Here is a 23,474-nt window from a genome sequence, read left to right as displayed (position 1 = left end):
TTTGGTTGATAACGCACAGATCCTGAACTAACTTGTAAGACTTGTCTGGTTTTTGGACAGGTAAAATGGGGAATTGTAAGGAGAGTTTATAGGCTTTAAAAGGCCATGCTGTAACAGGCGAGTGATTACAGGCCTTAATCCTTTTAAAGCCTGCTGTGGGATGGGATATTGGTGTTGAGTGGGTTAAAGGTGATTAGGTTTTAATGGGATGGTAAGGGGTGCATGATCAGTCCCCAAGGAGGGAGTAGAGTTATCCTATACTTGTGGATTAAGGTGGAGAGATACAAGGGGAGGATGTAAAGGAGGCTTTGAACTGGAGAAAAGGGTGGCAGTGAGGTGTGGCTATAGCCTAGGAATAGTCAGGGAAGCAGATAATTTAGTAAAAATGTCTCATCCTAATAAGGGAGCTGGGCAGGTGGGGATAACTTAAAAGGAGTGCATAAAAGAATGTTGTCCAAGTTGGCATCAGAGTTGGGGAGTTTTAAGAGGTTTCGAAGCCTGGCTGTCAATACCCACAACAGTTATGGAGGCAAGGGAAACATGCCCTTGAAAAGAAGGTAATGTGGAGTGGGTAGCCTCCGTATTGATTAAGAAGGGGATGGACTTACTTTCCACTGTAAGAGTTACCCAAAGTGTCTGTGATGGTCCAGGAGGCTTCAGAGGCGATCGGGCAGCATTAGTCTTCAGTCACTAAGCCGAGAAGACCTGGGAAGGAGTCAGTCAGAGGGCCTTGGGCCAGAGTTCCAGGGGCTCTGGGAGTAGCTGCTGGGCAAGTTGGACAGTTTGATTTCCAACGGGGTCCCGCATAGATGGGACATGGCTTAGGAGGAATCCTGGGCTGCAGGCATTCCTTGGCCCAGTGGCCAGATTTCTGGCACTTGAAGCAAGATCCTGAGGGAGGAGGTCCTTAAGGAATCCCAGACCGCTGTGGCTTAGGCGTTTTGAAGTTCTTGTGTGCTGCAAATGTGGCTGGGGTTTCTCTTACAGCACAGGCAAGTAATTGCAACTCCTCTGTTATTGAACATCTTGAAGGCGAGGTTGATTAATTCCTGTTGTGGGGTTTCAGGGCCCGATTCTAATTTTTGAAGCTTTTTTTTAATGTTAGGAGCTGACTGGGTGATAAAATGCATATTGAGAATAAGATGACCTTCTGGCCCCTCTGGGTCTAGGGCGGTAAAGGGTCTAAGAATTGTGGCCAAATGGGCCATGAACTGGGCTGGGTTTTTATATTTGATGAAAAAGAGCCTAAATGCTAACTGATTTGGGAGAGGTTGGATAAAGAAAAAGGAGCATTAACCTTGACTATGCCTTTAGCTCCAGCCACCTTTTTAAGAGGAAATTATTGGGCAGGTGGGGGAGGGCTAGTCACAGAACAAAACTGTAAGCCAGACTGGGTGTGAACAGGGGAGGTGACAGAAGAATTATAGGGTGGGGGAGTGGAGTCTGAGGAAGATTTGGAGCCTGATTCAGCCTGGCAGGGAGTGACCTGAGGAGGAGCAGTCTTGGGAGGAGGGGAGAAGTCAGATGGGTCGGTAGAAAAGGAAGATTGAAAAGACTCAGCAACACTTGGGGTTGGGACTGAGGGGACAGGTGGGAGGGAAGGAAGGATTTGGGATGAGTCGCATTGGGAACAGAGACTAGGGAGGGACCAATGTGTAAAAGAATGCCTGGATGTCAGGCACCTCAGACCATTTGCCCATTTTACGACAAAAATTATCTAGATCTTGTACAATGGAGAAATTGAGAGTGTTTTCTGGCTATTTGGAACTATTGTCGAGTTTGTATTGGGGTCAAGTGGCATTGCAGAAGAAAATAAGGCATTTAGGTTTTAGGTCAGGTGTGAGTTGAAGAGGCTTTAAGTTCTTGGAACACAGGCCAAGGGAGAAGAAGGAGGAATGAAGGGTGGAAGGTTGCCCATAGTGAAGAAGGCAAGCCCAGAGAAAAGAAAGGGTAGGGACACGGAGAGAAGGGGTGGGGGGTACCTGCCCTCCCCCCTCAGGAAAGTGGTACTTGCCACTAAGGTGAAGGATCAAGGCAGGAGTCCCTGCGGTGATCAGACACCTCTGAAACGTGGGTGAATAATCAGACAGGTGTCCCCACAGTGATTAAACACCAAGGGAAAACTGTCTTGCCGAGTCCGTGACTGGTGCCGGAGTTTTGGGTTCACGGATAAAATGCATCTCTTCTGTCTCTACCAGAAAAGGAAAGGAACAGAAATTAAGAGAAGAGAGAGACCCAAGGGTGGCACCAAGATTGAAAGGAGAAAGAGGTTGAAGGATAGTGAGAGAGGCTGGAGAAGAGTAAAAAGAGCCTGCTTACCCGATTTAAAATTGGTGATGTTCCTTGGGCTGGTTGGTCTGAGGACCAGAGGTTGTAGGTGGATCTTTCTCATGGAGCAAAGAGCAGGAGGACAGGGGATTGATCTCCCAAGGGAGGTCCCCCCGATCCAAATCACAGCACCAAATTTCACTCATGTCAGCGTGAAAAGACCACCAAACAGGCTTTGCTTAAGCTAAGCAATAAAGCTTTTTAATCACCTGGGTGCAGATGGGCTGAGTCTGAAAAGAGAGCCAAGGTAGGGAGATAGGTTTGGGTCCATTTTATAGGATTTGTGTAGGTAATGGAAAATTACAGTTAAAGGGGGTTGTTCTCTGGCAGGCAGGGATGGGGGTCACAAAGTGCTCAGTGGGGGAGCTTTTGGGCCAGGAGAAGGAATTTCACAAGGTAATGTCATCAAAGGCAGGAACCGGCCATTTTCTCTTCTTTTGTGACTCTTCAGTTACTTCAGGCCATCTGGATGTATACGTGCAGGCTTGGGCTCGGAGGCCTGACACAAACATGCTTTCCTGACATCTGTATTCTAACTTGTGTGATTCATTGTTTTTAAGCTTGAATAACCTGATTTCACATATTTTTCCATGAGTCAGAGGCATGTCTAGCTGTTAGTTTGTTATTGTCTGTACTTTTACATAGCATGCCTGCACTAGCCATCATTTTTCTACTTTGTGTTTTTAATCTTTTAACCAGTCACTTTGGGAAGAGTTTTTCCAGGAATAGTTTTTCCCGTTTTCAAAGAAAACCAGGCAAGAATGGCTATGGATCTCACAAAGACTGGCAACATTTTGTTGCTATTGTTTATTTAATTTAGTGGGTTTAAATGAAACCAGGACATCTGCAGCAGTTTTGATCTCTGGTCTTGCTCTCAACTATTTAAATCTTAAAAATTGTTTTGCTCTATGTTTTCATAATTTTATTGCTTGTCAAAAATCAGCTGGGATACATGATAGGTTAGCATGGTGACAATGTTATCTTAACCATAGATGAAGCAAAGTGGTGAAAATTTCCTGAGAAGATGATTAATGTTCATGAAAAATTAATAGGACATCTGAGTTTCTTGAGATGTAAACATCATCTAACTGCTCTAGTTTGGCTTTTTTCCAAGGGAAATAAAAATATTCCCTTAGTGTCTAATAAGAGTCTACATGATAAGTATGAACTTTAGAAGGTTAGTGTATTTAGGGTAAATCTATTGAATATTGAGCTTAATTTATTCAATCCTTATTTTTGGGTGCCTGTTTTTACCTAAGTACCAAAAGGAAATGATCAATGAAAGTTTCTTTCCTGACTCACATCCCTTCTAGCTACTGCTCCCTCTCTCAGCAATCCAGTTCCTTTCCTCTCATTCTCTTAAATCAACCATCTTTTGATTGTTGATTTAAGCACACTACTAAAAATGTCCAGGTTCAGCAGTGACCATGTTATTGTTCAGTTCTCACTCTTCAATGGGTTTGACCAATAAGCAGCTCTTAATACAGCTGATCATTCACTTTACTGAAACACTTTTTTCCACTTACCTGTTTTTCTCCACATTTTCTGGCTATTTTTACTCAGTCTATTTTTGTTGTTCCTTATCATCCCCACAAGCTCTAAGTATTACAACATACCAGTGTTCATTTCTTCAACCTCTCTTTCTCTCTAGCTGTACACATTTCTCTGGTAGTCTCTCTCATCTTGTTGATACATCCATATGCTTCATGTCCCAAGTTTATATTCCTAGCCCAGATTTTAACTCTGTAATTCAGGCTCATATATCCAGAACATTTAGGCCTTTGGCTTTTACTTTGATTGATAAAGGAGTTGTGGGAGAGTGTGAATGGAGAAATGACATGATATGGCTTACTTTTCAACAGGATCACTCTGGCTGCTGTGTTAAGAGTAGATGAGGGGAAGCAAGTGCAGAAACAGGGGGTCCAGTTAGGAGCTGTTGCAGTCATCTAGTCGAAGTATGATGATGATTTTGACCAGGGTGGTGATAGTGGAAATGGTGAGAAGTGGTCATATTCTGAATATATTTTAAAGTTAGAGTTAACAAAATGTATTCCATGGATTGTATATAATGTGAAAGGAAGTGAAGTCAAGGCTGACCCCAGAGTTTTTGGTCCGAGCAACTGGAATTTCATTAACTGAGATAGGGAAGGTTGGGGTTGGAGAGGAGGTTCTGATGGAAATTTGTGCAACTCCACTTAGGAAGTGTTATTTTGAGATGACACTTAGAGTGCTTTCATTAAATATTTATTGAGCAAATGACTGGCATCTCAGCCCTGCCTTCCACGACCAGTTATTTCTATACATAGAGGCTTTGTGTTTCACGTCTCCTTGTCTTTGGGTTTGTGGAGTAGTAGTTACATGGCTGGTGATCAGAGCAAAGTGAATCTGGGGATAAAATTACCCCATATACAGACACAAACAGATTTTTTTTTTTTTAATGATGAGCCCCAACTCTAACTTCCTCCTATTACACTGAGACCTGGGTTTTTCCAGTGTTGTGATCAAAAGATGGGCTTACTTCTCAAGGTAATCTCTGTTTGAAGGCAATGAGACTTTGGTTTCATATGTTTTGTTTAGTCAGTTCCTAAATGGCTACCTCATCCACTTGTCACTTTTCAAAAATGTGTTGACATCTCTTTATTATTCTTATCACTCCCCATGTTATTTTTGCCATTGTGGCATCTATTTTTATATCTCTAAATTGTTATTTTAGTATTCTGTTTGCCTAAGGGACCTGAGATAAATGCACACGTTCAATCCAAGTTAATAAAAATTCCACTTGCATATTCTTCCAGAATCTTTCTTTTTAATATTGAATATATTTTTCATTCAAATATACAATTAAACACTTTTTTCTTTCATACAAATGCAAAAGCATTAAAGTTTTAATTTGTCAAAATGTTTACTGTCATGATGTTGCATTAATTGTGGGAGATTCGGTGCTCCGCGTGATCTCCTCTCAGACATTTAGAGCAATCTTCACTTGTGAAATTGCATGAGCTCCTAGCATAATAGTCTCTGGAGTATTTTGGACACTAAATAAATATTTCTTGAGTGAATAAATAAATTCTCGAAGAGCTGCCCACCTTTGACGTTTTTATTCTCCTATATTTTTATAGGAGGTTAATTCTCCCATATTTTTCTTCCTATATTTTTCTCCTATATTTTTCTTCCAGTATTTACTATTCCATTGATATTATAATATTTATTCAACTGATACCTTCTATGTGTAAGGTGCTGTGGAATATATAATACTGATTTAGAAATAGTTCTTGATCTCAAGACATTTACAGTTTATTAATATAGAAAAATCATGTAAAAATAAAGGGCTAGACTGTAATAAGGAGCATAAGAGTCGTACTAATAATTTAAGGGTTCAGGGGAGTGAGAATTTTCTTGGCAAGAAAAATTAGGATATCTTTATGAAATGATGGCTTTAAGATAAGCCTTGAACAGTTACTGGGATTCAACCTAAGAAATGGAAAGGAAGTCACTCTAAATGAGTAGGCTAGCATGTGTGAAGATGAAGGGACGAGAAAATGTATTGGTTGATAAGTATTCGTTTAGCTCAATTAGAGTAAAAAAAGGAGAAACATGGAATATAAAGCCAGAAAGAATTTGAAACAGATGTGCTTGGCCATAGGCAATAGGACAGAAAGAATATGGGTGGTTTTTCACAGGGTGACACAAAAGGTTAATCCATAGGAGATTGCTGTGATCAGACATTTTCTTTGGGAAGCCTGTTGGAAAGAAATGAAAGGTGATTGAATGCTGGCAAGAGAAATAAGTGGTATCAGAGAGATTTGAGTCTCTGAGAAGGATGTAGGTTCTATTTCCAGATATATGGGAATTAGGAGAAGATAGTTTTGGAAGTATTAATAGGATAATAGTAATTTTAGATATAGTAAATTTAGAGTGAATTTCAGGTATAAATGTCTAACATGCAGTAGAAAATATGAAACTAAGAACTTGGGAAGAAAGGGTTAAAATAAAGACAACAAAAATGATTAAAGAACATCATATTATGTGATCACTTTCTCAGGTTTAACACATTTAGTTTTTGAAAAGTTGCTATTTTGGAATCATTTTTGATTTTTATTAAAAGGCGCTTCTTTACAAACAAAAAATGCAGCTTGTAATTTTTTATATTGAATAAATTCATATTTATTTAAAAATAATGTGCAGTTACATCATTTTTACATTTAATTCCCAAACATATGACAAGTTACAAATATCTTTTTATATTTTGTGGGACTGTTATAAAATTATTAGTCATTTGTGCACATTAAAAACCCAATGCCATATTGAAGAAATAATTGGAAGGTAAAGGTTATATTTTCTCCAGGATATTAAAATACGTATTTCTCCAGATCTGTTGTTACAGTCAGATTGTCACTTTTTATTTTTCTTATCCTTAGACTTAGGTGAATGTGTATTCTAGAATTTATATTAAGGTCGACATGATCCAAACTTTATGTCAAAGGAACTAGATAGATTCAGCAACATTTTCATGTTTACAGTTAAATTAAAATTTCAAAATACTTAAAATTATTATCATAGCAAAGGCTTGTGATAAATTTTAAAGCATAGATGTGTATGAAATGATTGTAAGAGTTCTTGTTTTCTCTGTCTTCAATTATACTTCCCAAGTTAGTATTCCTAAAATTTGATTATATAAATCTCTTCAATGAGAAAAAAAGCACAAATATCTGTCTTTTTATTTTTTATGCGTGTATTTATTTATTTATTTTGAGACAGAATCTCACTGTGTCGCCCAGGCTGGACTGCAGTGGTGCGATCTCAGCTCACTGCAACCTCTGCCGCCTGAATTCAAGTGATTCTCCTGCCTCAGCTTCCCAAGTAGCTGGGATTACAGGCACCTGCCATCATGCCCAGCTAATTTTTGAATTTTTTATTTTTATTTTTTGAGATGGAGTCTCGCTCTGTCACCCAGGCTGGAGTGCAGTGGCGTGATCTCAGCTCACTGCAACCTCCACCTCCTGGGTTCACACCATTCTCCTGCCTCAGCCTCCCGAGTATCTGGGACCACAGGCACCTACCACCATGCCTGGCTAATTTTTTGTATTTTTAGTAGAGACAGGGTTTCACCATCTTGGTCAGGCTGGTCTTGAACTCATGACCTTGTGATCCACCTGCCCCGGCCTCCCAAAGTGCTAGGATTACAGGCGTGAGCCACTGCGGCCAGCCATGTTTTTATTTTAATATTAATATGTGCTTAACTACACATATTATACTGTAACTTTTTAACTGAAAAATTGCCATAAGCATATCTTTTAATTCATGTTTTAGGAGAACGATAGAGCTGTAGATATCAATACTTGTATTATTTCTTCCCTTTGAGATGTTTTCTAAAACAAAAAGACAGTGAGAAAACAATGAATCACCACAATGTGATCTAGGCAATATTAGTGAATCTGGATATTTTTTATGCAAAGATACTAAAATGTGATTCTAAGATCTTCATTCACGTTTTCAAACCACATATACTGAATTCATTCTTTATGTTATTCTGTGAAGCCTCCTTGCAAATATGAGGTTACATGCTTAAAGACTGTTAAAGTCTGTCTTAGTTTGGAGAAGTATCAGTGACTTATAAAGACTTCATTTCCAAGAGGTTGAGAGAAACAATATTTTGTTTTATCCGTTCAAAACCAGATTAGCATTCGAAGATATATTGATACCTTGGACTGGTACTTAGAAGGGAGAAGTTTACAGTTTCCTATGAGACCCAGTGAGATATTAAACATTGTGTGTAATTACCTTTTACAGTATCTGCTTTGAAATAATTGAATAGAGATATGAATATTTGGCAAAATATGTATTTTATTTTAGAATGCATTATGAGATTAACTCAAGCCACATTTGCCCTCAGGCACACAAGGACAAACATTCTTTGCCTTCCATTCTGATATCTTCTTGGCTATAGGTCATCTTTTCATAACCTGAGATCTAGTTCACAGTGAAGGACATCCAGTGACATGTGGACAATCGGATTGGTAGCTCAGATCTCTGTTGGGTATCTTGCGTTCTGAGAGCTACAACTTTTATTATACAGAGACTCTGGTCAGCCTTCAGTAGTATATAGTTAAATCGTGGGTGGTTTTTGCAGATAATATTTTATTTGGAGATTTACTGATGACAAAACTGTTTGCTTTCAGAGTTATTAAAAATCACAGTGTGGGCTGGGTGTGGTAGCTCATGCCTGTAATCTCAGCAGTTTGGGAGGTTGAGGTGGATGGATAATATGAGGCCAAGAGTTTCAGATCAGCCTGGGCAACACTGTGAAACCCAAACTCTACTAAAAACACAAGAAAAATAGCTGGGCATGGTGGCACATGCCTGTAATCCCAGCTGCTTGGGAAGCTGAAGCAGGAGAATCGCTTGAACCTGGGAGGCAGAGGTTGCATTGAGCCGAGATCGTGCCACTGCACTCCAGCCTGGGTGACAGAGTAAGACTCAACTATCAACAACAACAACAACAAAAGTTACAATGTAAATAAAACAATTAAGTACAGAATCACACTTATAAATAAAATAATTTTAATAATACAAATATTTAAACAATGTTATTTAAAAATATTTCAATTTTAATATTTTATACTACTGTTAGCAGTAAAAATCCTATAAGAAACACTGATTGTAAAGTAGTAGCTTGGACATTCCATGGTACATTAATTCCAAACCTTGGACATAGATTATGTGCTTTCAGTTTGTTCATAATTTATTATGAATCAATGACAAATACCTACCTTTATATTTAGTGTTTTCACTGATTTTTCAGGCTACCGTTCCTTTTTGCCTAATGAGTTGTTAACATAAGATATGGTACTTTTATCTTCATTTATTTCTCTCCTTATAGCATCCCTACAAGACCTACATTAACTAGTCAGCACAGTGAGCTCTGAAGTCTTGGACTTGCTTTATGTAACCCAATCGCTAATCACAGGGCCCTTCCACTGCCATTTTCTTTCACCTGTGCCATAACTTCAGCCCTTATTTCCTTTTAATTCATATTGTGGCATACCAATTCTACTAATGATCAACACATGCCTTTTTTCCTCCTATTTCGTTTGATTTCTTATGCAACTCTCACCCATTTTATGTATCTTTACTTTAATAGAGACAGTGACCTGCAATAATTAAGAATTAAGAGACCTGGATCCAAATTTTGTCTTGTCTTTTTATTGGGCAAGTCAATATTTTAAGCCTTAATTACTCAATTTTCTTATCTATAAAAGACAACTCTGTAAAGTTATTGTAGATTTTGAAAATAAATCACTTAACACTTCCCGTGACACATGGTACTTGATAAAAGCTGGGTAGTCGCAGGCAGATGGTCCCTTACCCATAGCCCTTAGTTTAGATGCATTTTTAGAATTCAGAATTTATGGACTTTAAAAGGTATGCATATTTCATATCGTACTTAATATATCCAACAGGATGTTAGTCAGCATCTCAAACAAGTGGATAATTCTGTAGGACAATGCTTATGTGTGAATTTTTACACAGAAATATTAGCCTCCCATTAATTAAAGTCAGGTATTGTTACCAAATGAGTTATGAAAAAACCATTATTCAAATTTTGGAATCGAGGGTAAGTGAGTAGGAATCCAGAAAACAAGAAGAAATTTTTCATTTTTCTTATTGTAAACTAAATTTTGTTCTTTCATTTTGACTACCTGGATGTTTTCTAGGTTTCCTAAATATGGGACCATAAAGCACTTTTTTTACCTACACTTCCACAACTCATCCCTCTCCCCAGCTACCCTCACCACTCCAGATGTCTTCTGAGAATTAAGGGAGGGAATGAAATAGAGTTATTTCTGTAGGAGCATAATTGTTGGGCATGGAAAATTAATGTCACATTAAGAATTTTTTTCTCCCTGGAATTTGTTAGGGTAAGTATATATTATCTAGGGAGAAAATGACACAAAAAAGCATTAGTTTTTGTTTCTTCCTTTGTGATTTAAAACTGGCTTTTCTTATATATATTTTAACTTAGAAGATGTTTTAGCAAGATTTGTAGTTAAATGAAATACACTAGCAATTTTAACGTGTGTAATTTATTGTTTTACATAAGTATTTTTGGGTTTTAGAGAAATGTAGATTGTCTTACTGACCTGTTGACATTGATTTTTTTTTCTTCCACTAATAAGGATCTGTATAGATTTTAGTCTGTTCCTTCCTGTTATCTATTGATATGGGGGACTTGCTATCAGGATAAAAGTTGTAATTGAATTATAATTTCATATTATGTAATTATTAATCACAATTGATTCTAGTATTTTTTTTTAGTGTCCAACTGAAACCAAAGCAACATTTGGGGTTCATCTTAAAATAGTAGGAGACTGGACAGGTATGTAGAACATACAGTTTTAAGATACATTCTTTGAAAATAGTGGAATGTAATAATTTGAATGTGTTTTAATATAACTACCAGCATGTATAGAGATGTGTATGTGTTTCAAGCTGTTCTGGGTTTTTTTTTGTTTTTTTTTTTTTTTTTTTTTGCTTGTACAGTTTTGACATCTGTGTTTTCTCTTTTAAGATGCATTTTTGCAATCAGAATACCTTTGATATCAGTAATTATTAATAATATATTGTTCAGTGTGCTTGCAAATCATAAGTTTCTACCTACTTGTCAGGTGTGCTGGCAATAGTGGGAATGCTGAAATGTGTTTCTTAGAAAACATGAGTCAAAATAATCAACACCTGATATTGAGATCACACAAATCTTCCAGTTCTTGCATGACATTTTTTGTGGTGTTCCAGTATATAGGGCAACTTCACAGTAACTTTGGAATAGATATTTTTCACAGCAGGCCTGTTGGTGATACTTTACTTGTCTTCAGTAAATACTTTTTATTACCTGAGAGATGCATTGTAGTAAGAGCTTTGAGTAAATAAAAGAAACATTATTCTCTCTTATATTAATATTTCCTTGACCCGCCAGAGTAACTGACAAGTGAGTACTCAGTAAATGTTGGCTTGTTAGTTGGTTGGTTATGTTATTGTTACAGGAAAGAATGCAGATATAAACATGAATGCAAAAGTAAATTTAAATATTCTTATACTTAGGTGCTAAACGAGGAGTTGGTAAGTAAAATCTGTAGGGAACCAGAAAAGTGTAGATTAAATGTGGTCTAGGGCTGTAAGAGAAGCTTCACAGAAAAGACAGAATTTGAACTGAAGCTTAGGAGTCAGGCAAATGAAGAAAGATGTAGGTAATTTAAGTGAAAGTCACAGTGTTGTCAAAAATCAGGAAAGGCAATGATTAACTCTCTTTGGAAAGGATGAATCCAATCAGTCTTTAATCAATTAAACAAAAGCAAAGTCAATCAAACAAAATGAAACAAAGACAAAGTCAATCAAACAAAAGCAAAGATTTTGTTCTGGGTAGTAGCACAGAAAAGCCATTTAGGGCCAGCTTGGTGAAGATTATGAATGCCTCAGCAAAATATTAGAGTAACCAAGGGACTTTAGGGAATTTTTGAAGCATTTGAAGCACTATGATGAAAATGGTATTAATTAAGTTGCTAGTTGGACAGATTAAAATCAAGGGAAGACTTGAAGGTACTTAAAGGCAGAGGGGAAGGAGGCAGTGGAGGGGTGGGGATGGAAATTGGAAGTAATGGATTTGTGAATACAAGTTAAGAAGGTAGCATTAGAAGGAAGAACCTAATATCTCTAAAAACCAGGGAAGGATAAGATGTTGGATAATAAGAAAGATGTGTTTTGAAATGAGGAGAACAATAGTTTATATAAGGAGGTTATTTCATAGAGTTAAAAAAAATAATATTGGTATGTATAAAATGTAATGTCTTTAGAAAGGGTAGCCAGCTTGGAATTGGAGACTTAAAAAAAAGGAAGGAAATCTGCAACATAGGATTTAATGGGCAAACATCTAAGTGAATTAAAAAGATCTTTGAGCAGTAATAACTCATTCAGAGTCATGAAAAACCAGGCTTACATGGATAATTTTCAGATGGTAGCATTCAAAAGAGATCATGGTCGTCCTCTGATAGGTATACACTGGTGGAGTATGAACATATGAATAATCACAATATGCCCAATATAAGTTGATATTATCACAGTGTTTTTTTTTTCTACTGTTTTGGAAATAAAAAATAAGGAAAGTTCTTTTCTGGTGAGAATCCCAATATAGTAGGAATTAAATTCAGTCATGAATGGTAAATTGATAGAATTCTATATCTGAAAGAAAACATGCAATGAAAACATAATTTAATTCATAAGATTAAGCAGAAACTCCTGATGGTTTATTATTAGCTATTGTTACTGAGTTTTTTCACAAAGTTATTTTTTATTACCAGTAGCTCATTAAAATAAATGATGTCTTACTATTTTAATCATCTCTATTAGGAACACTTAATAGTGTTAATTTTATTCTCCCTTTTTAATGTATTATGTCACTGAGAGAAACAAGATCATTCTATTCAGAGTTCAGTTCTAGTCAGATGCTTTTCAATTAATAGACCTTCTTTGTTGTTGACTTGAAATATTTGTTGACTTGGAAAAAAATATAAGCAGTCATGCAGAGAACACCTAAATAGTCATGTCATTATCTGACACTTTAGTTCAAAGAGATTTAGCTGCCTTACAACAATGAGATTACAACTATTGAAGGAAAAGTAGGAGCATTACCTTCAAAATCAAGAATCATTGGTTTTTATTCTAAAAGAATTGATTAAAACTCGGTATTAAGAGCAGTAGGTATAGGAAATACCAAAGAGATACCTAAGAGGTTGAATATCAAAGGTTTATTTTTTTAAAACTGACTTAGAGATATTTAATATGACTTTTTATTTGCTGAAATATGTTCTGCATTGGCAGCATACAGGGACTAAAGAGCAGGTTTAAAATAGCTCCAGAAATGATCTCTCCAAGACTAATCAACTATACCTAGCTATAGAGTGCTGGAGGAGCAAGGGAAGCAGCTATGCGGCACAAGACAAAGAAGCACCAAGTCTCATATTTGTTGTCTAGATTTTCATTTTCACCAGACCTCTAATTGCATCTCCTAGATACGTGGAAGACCTGTTAAAGTTTAGAAGACCCTTAAAACATTTTAGACATGATTCAGTGTTTTTTCTTGAAATGATGCTAGTACAGTAGATGGAGTGGATTACCCAAGTAGATTTCTCTTTTAATTGAATGAATACCTTATTGCTCTTCTAGAAGCAGCCATTCTTTCCAGTTTCAAACATATGGTCAGAGATTATTGACTTGATTATCATTTTAAGTGTACAAAAATGTTTTGTTAATTTCTTCGTTACATATGATTAGTATTGATTAATGTCTGAGATAATGCTATACCCTTGCTTATTTTGGTGGTCTAAATAGCCACTTATTCCACAGGTGTTTGTGTTGTGCTACAACAGAATTAAATACATAACATCCACATGTAATTAATGTAAACTTTCTGCCATTGATCCCTTCAGCAGTTAATGAATTAGCAATAATTGTGAGTAAATATTCAATAAAGGACTTGTAGCATGTATCACATGATGTTTCTATGAATCTTGGGTATAAATTCCCATGTTGTCTACTGGAAAAGTTTTCTACAGTGAGAAGATATGGTTATCTTTTAGGATTAAAAATGAGAAGACAGGGCCATATATTATTGTGGATTTGCCTCAGTCACATAATATATTGACTTCTCACAGTGCAAGTAATCTTAAATATAGGTTTAGTTAAGGACTGGGCCACAAAAGAGTTGATAACTCTCTTATTTGTTTCTATATCACTGTAGGAGCCAGTCGTGTTATAGGCTTTATTCAGATTTTTCATGAAAAGATTTAAACAGAACATGTGTTACGTGTTTAAAGTATTTTTTTTTTCATTTTTGGAAACTCCTTGTAAGTCAGATTATAACCACACTAATTTATATTAATGTTATTACTTTATTATGACAACATATTTTAGGCCAATTACATCAACCACCTTGCACTAGATATCACTGTGAATGGCTTTTGGTTGCTGCAAGAAGCCAATAAATAAATAAACAAACAAACAAACAAACAAATAAATAAATAAATCATATTTGGATATATGGAATCTCACAGATTTTACATAATTCATATTCATACAATGTAAACTTTAAGCTTATAACAAATATTCATTATCAACTGCTATATACCCAAAGGAGTGCCTGGAAGTACTCTTTTTGTTGTTGCTGTTGCCATGACTAGTGAATTACAACGATTAGTCATTTGTGGAAGATAATATTTAAACTATTAACTTTGGCTAATAATCAAATGTATGTTAAACAGCTACTGTGTTCCAGACTGTTTATTAGTCACTGGAGATACAGCATTGAGCAAAAGTGACAAAGTCTCCGCTCTTATAGAGATTGTGTTTTGGTCCATGGGGAGTTTATCATTTTTTTTGGAGATGTTTTGGTGTGACTCTATCTCCTGCCACTTAGCCATGGTTTATAGATTGTAGTAGCCTCACCTATACCCTATGTCCTCCCAGCCCCTGTGGATGGTAGTAATTTTCTTCCACTCTTTGTATTTTTTCACCATCCTCAATTTGGCTTCTCACTTCTTCCCTCACCTGAGTCATTAGTTCCCTCTAATGAACTTCTTCCACTTAACTTATGCAGTCATGTTTCTGCCTGGATCTGCACTGTTACACAAGGTTAGAAAAGCTCTCTGAACAGAGCCCTGAATAAAGAGGAGAAATATATAGGGGAATTGCATTTGCAGCATACAAGGACTAAAGAACAGGTTTAAAATAGCTCCATAAATGAGTTATTTTAAAAATATATATCTTAAAAAAGTTTAAGAGATAATAAAAGTAAGAGAGTATTTTATATCTATAAAAATATATCTTTAAAAAGTTTAAGAGGCAATAAAGTAAGAGAGGATGTGGAGTTGTTAAGTATAGACCAGTCTGGCAGTATGCTTGGGTTACCTCCTAGGGCTTGAGAGAAGTGCTTCTCTTCCCACCTCCATAGTCAGTGAAGTCATGTCTGATAGCTTCCCATCACTCACAGTGATAGTAGTTATTCCACAGAAATTGACCAACATCATTCCCATGGTGTGAATGTGTCCCCTGTAATTCGTATATTGAAATTTAATCACCAATATGATAATATTAAGAGGTAGGACTTTTAGGTGATGATTAAATCATGAGAATAAAGCCCTCATGGATTAGATTAGTGCCTTATGAAAGGGATTGAGGGAGTTGATTGACTCTCTTCTGCTCTTCTACCATGTGTGTTCCTCCCCCTTTGCTCTTTTGCTCTTCTGTTATGTAAGGACACAGCAGTAAGGCACCAGCTTAGAAGCGGAGAGCAGACTTTACCAGGCATCAAAGCTGCTGGTGCCTTGATCTTGTACTTCCCAGCCTTTAGAACTGTGATAAATAAATTTCTGTGGTTTATAAATTAACTAATTTGTGGTATTTTGTTATAGCAGCTCTCTAACAAAGACAACCATAAAGTAGGTCTTATGTATTTATCTATCATTAGACCTGGCTATTAAACATTTGCCAGAATACCACTGGACAAATTCTAAGAAGTTTGTATGTAAAGTGAAATAAAGAAATAAGTCAGCAGCTGAAAGGAGGAAATAAGGACGAAGAAGATATAAGTTAAAGATATATGATTATTTTATAATAATTATAACAATATACTAATTATGTTATAATATATTTATACACTTATTTGAATGATGAGAATGAAGTGGAGACAGGAAGTTTTATATTGCTGGAGAGATTTAGGATATAGTTCCAGGAGCAAATGGAAGATGTACAAGTTTCTGGGAAGAAAACTTGGGAGGCTTTCTGGGTCAAACTGAGTGTTAGAGATATATAGAACTTGCCTAGAGTGGGGGATTATTCCACGGAGAAAAAATAGCTTGAATGGCTCAGAAGGGTGAACTAGCTTGGAATGTCAGGAAAATGTCATGCTATTGGGAGGCCTGGCTGGGGTGGCATCCAAATATTAGGCCAAGGAAGAGCTTGTAGATCTTGCTATGAAACTTGGTCGTTTCCCAAAAGATGCTGGTGAAATATTGAGGAGTTTTAAACAGGAACTGAAATCAAATTTGCCCTTTATATGGGTCACCCTGCCAATGTTATATCAAATAGAAAGGAAGAAGACTAGGCTGGAGGCAAACACATCACATTAAAGATTTTTTAGTGTCAAGCAAATGGAAGACTTTATCTTTTGAGTTTTGAGAAAGGAGTGATCTATGATTGCTGCAAAAAGCCAATAAATAAATAAATAAATAAGACTGAGCAATATCACTGTTAGCCTCATAAAAATCATGTCATTAGGAAGATGCAAAGGAAAGGTCTGGCGATGGTACATATTGCTGCGAATTACTGAGGGCATTGGAGACCAGTAAGTGGAGAGAGTTAGTGTACAAAAAGAGGCACATAGCAAATGGGCCTATTGCTAAATTCTTCCTGTTTCTACATTTCCCCAGAACTATGAGAATGATTGATTTTTATACTGATCTGGCTTGTGATTAGCAGCAGAAGATGAATGGCAAATACAGATGTAACTACCTGTGTATATATCTAGATGGATCTGTGTCAGGATGAGGATTAACCTATTGTATCTTAAAGTATATATGCTTTGTATAATGAAACACTGTAGTTCTGGCCTCTTGTGAGTCTATGTGGAAATCATTTAGGATAATGATGAAACTTAACATGGCTTATTTACTATCACAATATAATAAATCATTCAATGAATGTGAACTGGGCATAAATTCTACAGCCTCAGAAATCAAGGAAATTTTTTTATCAGGAAAATGAGAGGCACATTATATGTGTACTACAATTTAAGTGCCCATCCATTCTCAGGAAAGAAGATAAATTGTTTTTCCCTTGGTTTCTCATTTTATGAACGTTAAATATATGCTGTCATGTTTTTTAGTAGGTTACAGCTCACTTAAAATACTACAGAAATATAAAAATTGCTTAGTAAATAAAGAATTCACCAGTCATTAAGTTTTATTCGTTCCAGCCATTTCACAAACCCAAACATAGGAGTAAATACCAAATTTTTGTTTTCTATCCAATTTTCACAATGTTCTTTTTTTTTTTTTTTTTCTTTTCAGTTTTTAGAGACAGGTCTTGCTGTGTCTCCCAGGCTAGAGTGCAGTGATATGGTCATGGCTCACTGCAGCCTTGACCTTCCAGGATCTATGGAAGGATCTATGGATCCTCACATGTCAGCCTCCTGAGTAACTGGGACCACAGGCTCAGACCACCATGCCTGGCTAATTTTTATATTTTTTGTAGAGGCAGGGTTTTGCCATGTTGCTCAGGCTAATCAAACTCCTGGGCTCGAGCGATCAGCCCACCTCGGCCTCCCAAAGTGCTGTGACTACAGGAGTGATCTACTGTGCCTGGCCAAAATGTTACTTTTTAGTTTTGAAAATAAACAAATCATACAATTACTGGACCTGGAAGTAGAGTTATTGTGGTGAAGTGGTTTCTTTTTATGGATTGTTATATTTTTATTAGAATTGTTCTGTTCCTAAAAGTTGCTTAGAGTCTCTGTTATCCAGTATTTTCTACTTGATTTTACTATGTAACATGGAAGAAAATAAGAATTATGAGGGATTTTCTTGGTAACATAATTTATTAATCAATGTCAAAAACACCACATAATGTACTGAATGGCTAAGAAGGCATATGTCAGTTTGCCAAATGAGCCTAGCGTTAATGGACTAAGTAATTTCAAAGGAAGCAAAAGGACAAGGGTTTTGTGCCATTATCATTATTATCAGGAACATTTTTAAGTACTCATTTTCTTGATACACTTGCTAATCATTTTATGTATTTGCTTGTTGTTTTTCCCTGATCCATAGTCTTGGTCTTCGGCCAAGACATCTTCTATTTAAGAACAGAGAAGACTCACTACATGGCTGTTTTCTATTGGCTTTAAAGGCCCATATATTGCATGGCATTGATTTTATTTGCTCGGTTCTTTAGATTTGAACTTCATAAAACATAAAAGAAAATCTCCTGTTTTTTTTTTTTTTTTTTTTTTTGTGGGCGTGGTCTTGGTCTTGGATAAAATGGCCTGTTTTTTCTTGAATACACATCTAAGATATATTCAGTTTCTGCAGAAGCCAGGAACTGAATTAGTATGGAGCTGAGTCTTGATCAGTCTGAGGTGTTTCTTTTGATGAAAGCCAACATTGTTAAAAAAAAATGCATTTGATGTGACAAATGAAAATATAACATTTTTCTTAAAAGGTGGATTGTAGAAAGCTTAGTAGCAATAATGTGTTTACCCAACAATGTCTGTTATTTGCCTTCACTTTCTTTGAAACTGTTTTTTTTTTTCCCACCCTCTTTCATTTTTTGTTATAGTTTAGCCTCTGTGGCAATAAACGCCAATTTATATTTTATAAGAAATCCAGTTCTAGGCATTGATTCATTGATGTATTTAGGGGCCAAGAAGTCTGTCTGTAGTTCTTTCAAAAACTGCTTTTGATTTTTTTAAAATAAAGTGTTAAACAAATAAGAAGCAAAATAATGAGTATCACAGAAATAGACTTTTATCACTCTGCTCCCCCTGGAAATAAAAGGATCCATTAAATATTCTTCCTTTGTGTAATACTGCATTGTCTACCTTCAGACCTTACAGTATTTAAAAGTACCAGATGTTGAGGCATGCAGATGGCATATGACCCTGCTAAGCTTTCTCTTATCCTGTAATCCTTAGGCAAGAAGAAAGTAAAAGGAGGGAGGGGAGAAAAGGGAGTACTGTATATTCTCGGGAGAGAATAAGGCAGTATGACGGCAGTGGAAAGAACCCTGGACTGTGAGTGTTTTTGTTTTGTTTTTGTCTTTTCTTTAAGTATCTTTGCCTCTTTCTAGCCATGTGACCTTGAGACAATCAGCCAGCTGGTTGGTTTTTAGTTTCCTTGTCTACAGCATACCAAATTGAGGGAGTTGTTTCCTAATTTCTCAGTTCATTATTGCTGTAAAGTGGTATAATTATTTTGAAAGAAATAAATTCTAAGATACAGATAATTCAATTCCACATAATGTGTGAATGATAGTAGATAAATTTTGGTATAGTTCAGAAAATATTACAGGAATACTATGGAGAATACATGTCAAGTAGAGGATTTTTATGTTGCTTATTTTGTTTTCCTATTAGTGTTCTTATTCATTCATTAGCTCTGGTTGTACATACATCTCATCTTCTGAAAATTACATGTATGGGTTTAGGGATTTTTTTCCCCTTATGTAAGACAGTATAAAGTTCTGTTTTTTATATTGCTTTGACATGGCCTTAATATTTGCAAAAAAGATAGTTTTATATAACCAGAGCATGCGAGTGATAGGGTTTTTTCTTCTGGAATTGTAAATCATTTTATTTTCTTCTAGAATTATAAATCATTTTCATTTGAATCCTAGAATCTTATGACACAAGATTTGTCTACATATGTAATATATATAGGCAAATATATATGTGTGTGTATATATGTATGTGTGTATGTAAACATATATATACACACAAACAGAGAGAGAGAAAGAGAGAGAGAGACAGGGTCTCACTCTGTCACCTAGGCTGGTGTGCAGTAGCATAATCATAGCTCACTGCAGCCTCAAAATCCTGGGCTTGAGCAATCCTCTTGTCTCAGCTTCCCAAGTAGTGAGGACTACAGGTGTATACCACCACATCTGGCTAATTTTTTAAACTTTGTTGAAGAGCAAGGGTCTTGCTGTGTTGCCCAGGCTGGTCTCAAATCCCTGGCCTCAAGCTTTCAAATATTGGGAATGTAGCCATGAGCCACCACACCTGGCCTGCCTATATCTTTAATAAGTTGCAACTTGATTTCCTGGTTTATGTAAAGTAGTACTAATTTGAGAGCCTCTCATGTTTATCTGAAACCAATAGTTTAAATAGCAACATTGTTACTATTATATTGTTACTATTCAGTTACCATGTATTACTATGCATTACCATGTATTATTATTGAGTTACCATGGTAATAAAGGACATTCGCTTGATTTAAACAAACTTTTCAGTAGGGAGATGTATGCTCCATATCTTTCTAGTTGGTATGGATATACTCTAAGTTTGCCCTTTAATTCTTCTTTTTAGAAGGAATTTGTTTTTCTAAGATTAATATGCATACTTCTAAGGAAAATAAATACCAAATTTTGACAAACCATTAATTTCTTTAAATCCCTAGAAATAATGTGCTTCTTTCCCTTTTTAAATAATTTTGTAATTACATTCTAAATTCTTTTCAAGTAGCTATAATGGCATTGAAGTTCTTTTGTTGTCCTGGCATTTTTTGTGTGTGCTTAATAAACAGAGCTGCCTTGGTGATAATAATTTGTTTTGTTCACAGTATGTGACAAATGATAGGTACTCAATAAAAGTTTGTTAGATGAGTGAAAAAGTGAATAAAACATGCTTTAACTGATGAAATTCTGATTATCCAAAATATTGATTTTATTTTCAATTCTAAATTTTCTATCATTATAGATTATTGATATATATGTAACAGAGCAAAAATATTCACCTTATCTAGTACCACGGCTCAAAAGGACTTCCTTTGTTGGTTTGTTTTATTTTTTATAAAACCTCTCCGCTTCTTTTGCTTTTTGTTACCAGCATATCCAGGCTAAGTTGACTGTTCTATTCCAAACTCTCAGAGCATACCTTTAGCACTTATTTACTTGTAGCGTTTGTATCTTTTGATAAATAATTTAGAATGCAATTACAAAATTATTTAAAAAAGGAAAGAAGCACATTATTTAGACCTCTTCTCTGCTAGACCTTTAGCCCATGAAGAACCTCAGTTGGTGCCTGACTTACAGTGCATGCTCAGAAATGTTACTGAGAAATTACTTATTTTAGGTGTTCACATTTTGTGTCTACATATTTAAATAGTAATTCCTACATGTTGTGAGAAAACTCATTTGTACCTTCTATTTCAAGCATCATGTGTGTGTGTTTGTGTGTATTGTGTGTCTGCATTGGTGTGGTGTTTTCCTTGGTAGGTGGAGGAGGGGATAATACTCCAAGATCTATAATATGGGGAGTATGAATGAATGACAACTACTCTTGAAGATATGTTCATGTGTGGTAGTGTGCACATCCATGCCCTACATCTACTCTTTAAATATATATCTATATATACACACACACACGTATAGATAGATGATTGATAGATTACTTTTAGATAAATACTGAAAACTAAAATTCAAACAAATCTAAAGATTAAAAATTCAAACAAGATATAGATAAAATAAAAAGCTATTATATATGATCAGGAGCCAACAGGCAATACTTAACTGATAGAGTCAAGGTGGGCATGATCAAGATACTGGACAGCATGGCTGGAAGAGTAATCAAAATGGATTGACAGTGACCGCCTGCACATGCCACAGAGGTGTTATTTATGTAACATCTGGAAGGTTCTGGAAAAAGAGAAATGATTTATTGCTGATCTTTATTCTACTTAAACACATGCACATGCATCACACCCCACAGTAGCCGAGAACTTGGTAGAAGTTCTCAGTACAAAGTGGAGATCTATGAAGCACCTGTGTTTCAGGTTGGATTAGCTAGAAGGTGTGTGTGTGTGTGTGTGTGTGTGTCTGTGTCTGTGTGTAATGTAAAATGCTTATTAGGGATCAATACCCATGACAGGAAAGAGAACAAAGAGGGTTTGGGGGAAGGAAGAATTTGAAACAAGGCAGGTTCAACAAAGCCCAGCCAAATTGGTGGGAAGAACTAGAGCAAATATTGCCCATCAGAGTTGCCTGTGTAGTGCTGAAATATCCTTGCCTTGTTCAGTCAATGGATGTGAGCTGCTCTGTGAGAGGTATTTGCTTTGCATCTGAGGCCGACCCTGATGGAAGTGACAGATGGAGATTGCCTGCCAACTGCGCTCTCCACAGCTGGGCAACAAGTTCTTCACTGAAGAGGCACTTGGGGGATACTTCTCTGTATCAACTACATGACCCCTAGCTTATTTTCTTATTAATATTTAATTAAAAATAAAATCTCATGTGAATATGAAATGGAGCAGGATGCTAGGACAGCAGGAATAAACCAGAATAGTCTCAGTCAAACAAAGACATGTGGCCCCACTCCCTTTCAGTGACTTTAATTAAGATTTCTTTTCATTCCTTAAGCAAATATTCTTTTTTGTTTTGTTTTGTTTCAATAGTTTTTGGGGTACAGGTAGATTTTGGTTCCATGTATAAATTCTTTAGTGGTGATTTTTGAGATTTTAGTGCACCCATCACCCAAGCAATGTACACTGTACCCAATATGTAGTTTTTTATCCCTCACCCGACTTCTAACATTCCCGCTCCAGAGTTCTTAAAATTCATTATATCTTTCTTATGTCTTTGAGTCCTCAAAGGTTAGCTTAGCTCTCACTTATAAGTGAGAACACAGGATATTTAGTTTTCCATTCCTGAGTTACTTCACTTACAATAATGGCCTCCAGCTCCATCCAAGTTGCTGCAAAAGACATTATTTTGTTCCTTTTTATGGCTGAGTAGTATTCCATGTTGTATGTATACCACATTTTCTTTATCTACTTGTTAGTTGATGGGTGCTTAGGTTGGTTCCATATCTTTATTGTTGTGAATTGTGCTGCTGTAAACATGCATGTGCCTGTGTCTTTTTCATGTAATGACTTCTTTTCCTTTGGGTAGATACCTAGTAGTGAGATTGCTGGACTGAATGGTTGTTTTACTTTAAGTTCTTTAAGGAATCTCCATGTATTGTACATAGTCATTTGCACTAATTTACATTCCCATCAGCAGTGTAAAAGTGTTCCCTTTTTACCACATCCATACCAACATCTATTGTTTTTAGACTTTTTAATTGTGGCCATTCTTGCAGTAGTAAGGTAGCATCTCATCGTGATTTTAATTTGCATTTCCCTGATGATTAGTGATGTTGGCCATTTTTTCATGTTTGTTAGCTGTTGTATGTCTTCTTTTGAGAAATGTCTGCTCAAGTCCTTTGTCCACTTTTTGATGGGATTATTTGTTTTTTTCTTGTTGATTTGTTTTAATTCCTTGTAGATTCTGGAAACTAGTCCTTTGTCAGATGCAAAGTTTGAGAATATAAGCAAATATTTTTTAAGCAA

The 23,474-nt window shown here is 36.1% G+C and overlaps 1 protein-coding gene across 8 annotated transcripts in view; it reads left to right on the top strand.

Annotated features, from left to right (window-relative positions):
• Positions 1-23,474, top strand: part of NOX4 (NADPH oxidase 4) — a 265,205-nt gene that overhangs the window by 205,421 nt on the left and 36,310 nt on the right. For 7 of the 8 annotated variants that reach the window (NM_001143837.2, NM_001300995.1, NM_001291926.2 and 4 more), the window contains 1 exon segment: positions 10,645-10,705. In NM_001143837.2, the coding sequence (NP_001137309.2) occupies positions 10,645-10,705 (61 nt within the window). 8 annotated transcript variants of the gene reach the window in all.

The sequence above is a fragment of the Homo sapiens genome, chromosome 11, assembly GCF_000001405.40.
Source record: "Homo sapiens chromosome 11, GRCh38.p14 Primary Assembly".
Classification (NCBI taxonomy): Eukaryota; Metazoa; Chordata; class Mammalia; order Primates; family Hominidae; genus Homo; species Homo sapiens.
This window is presented reverse-complemented; position numbering and strand designations above follow the sequence as displayed.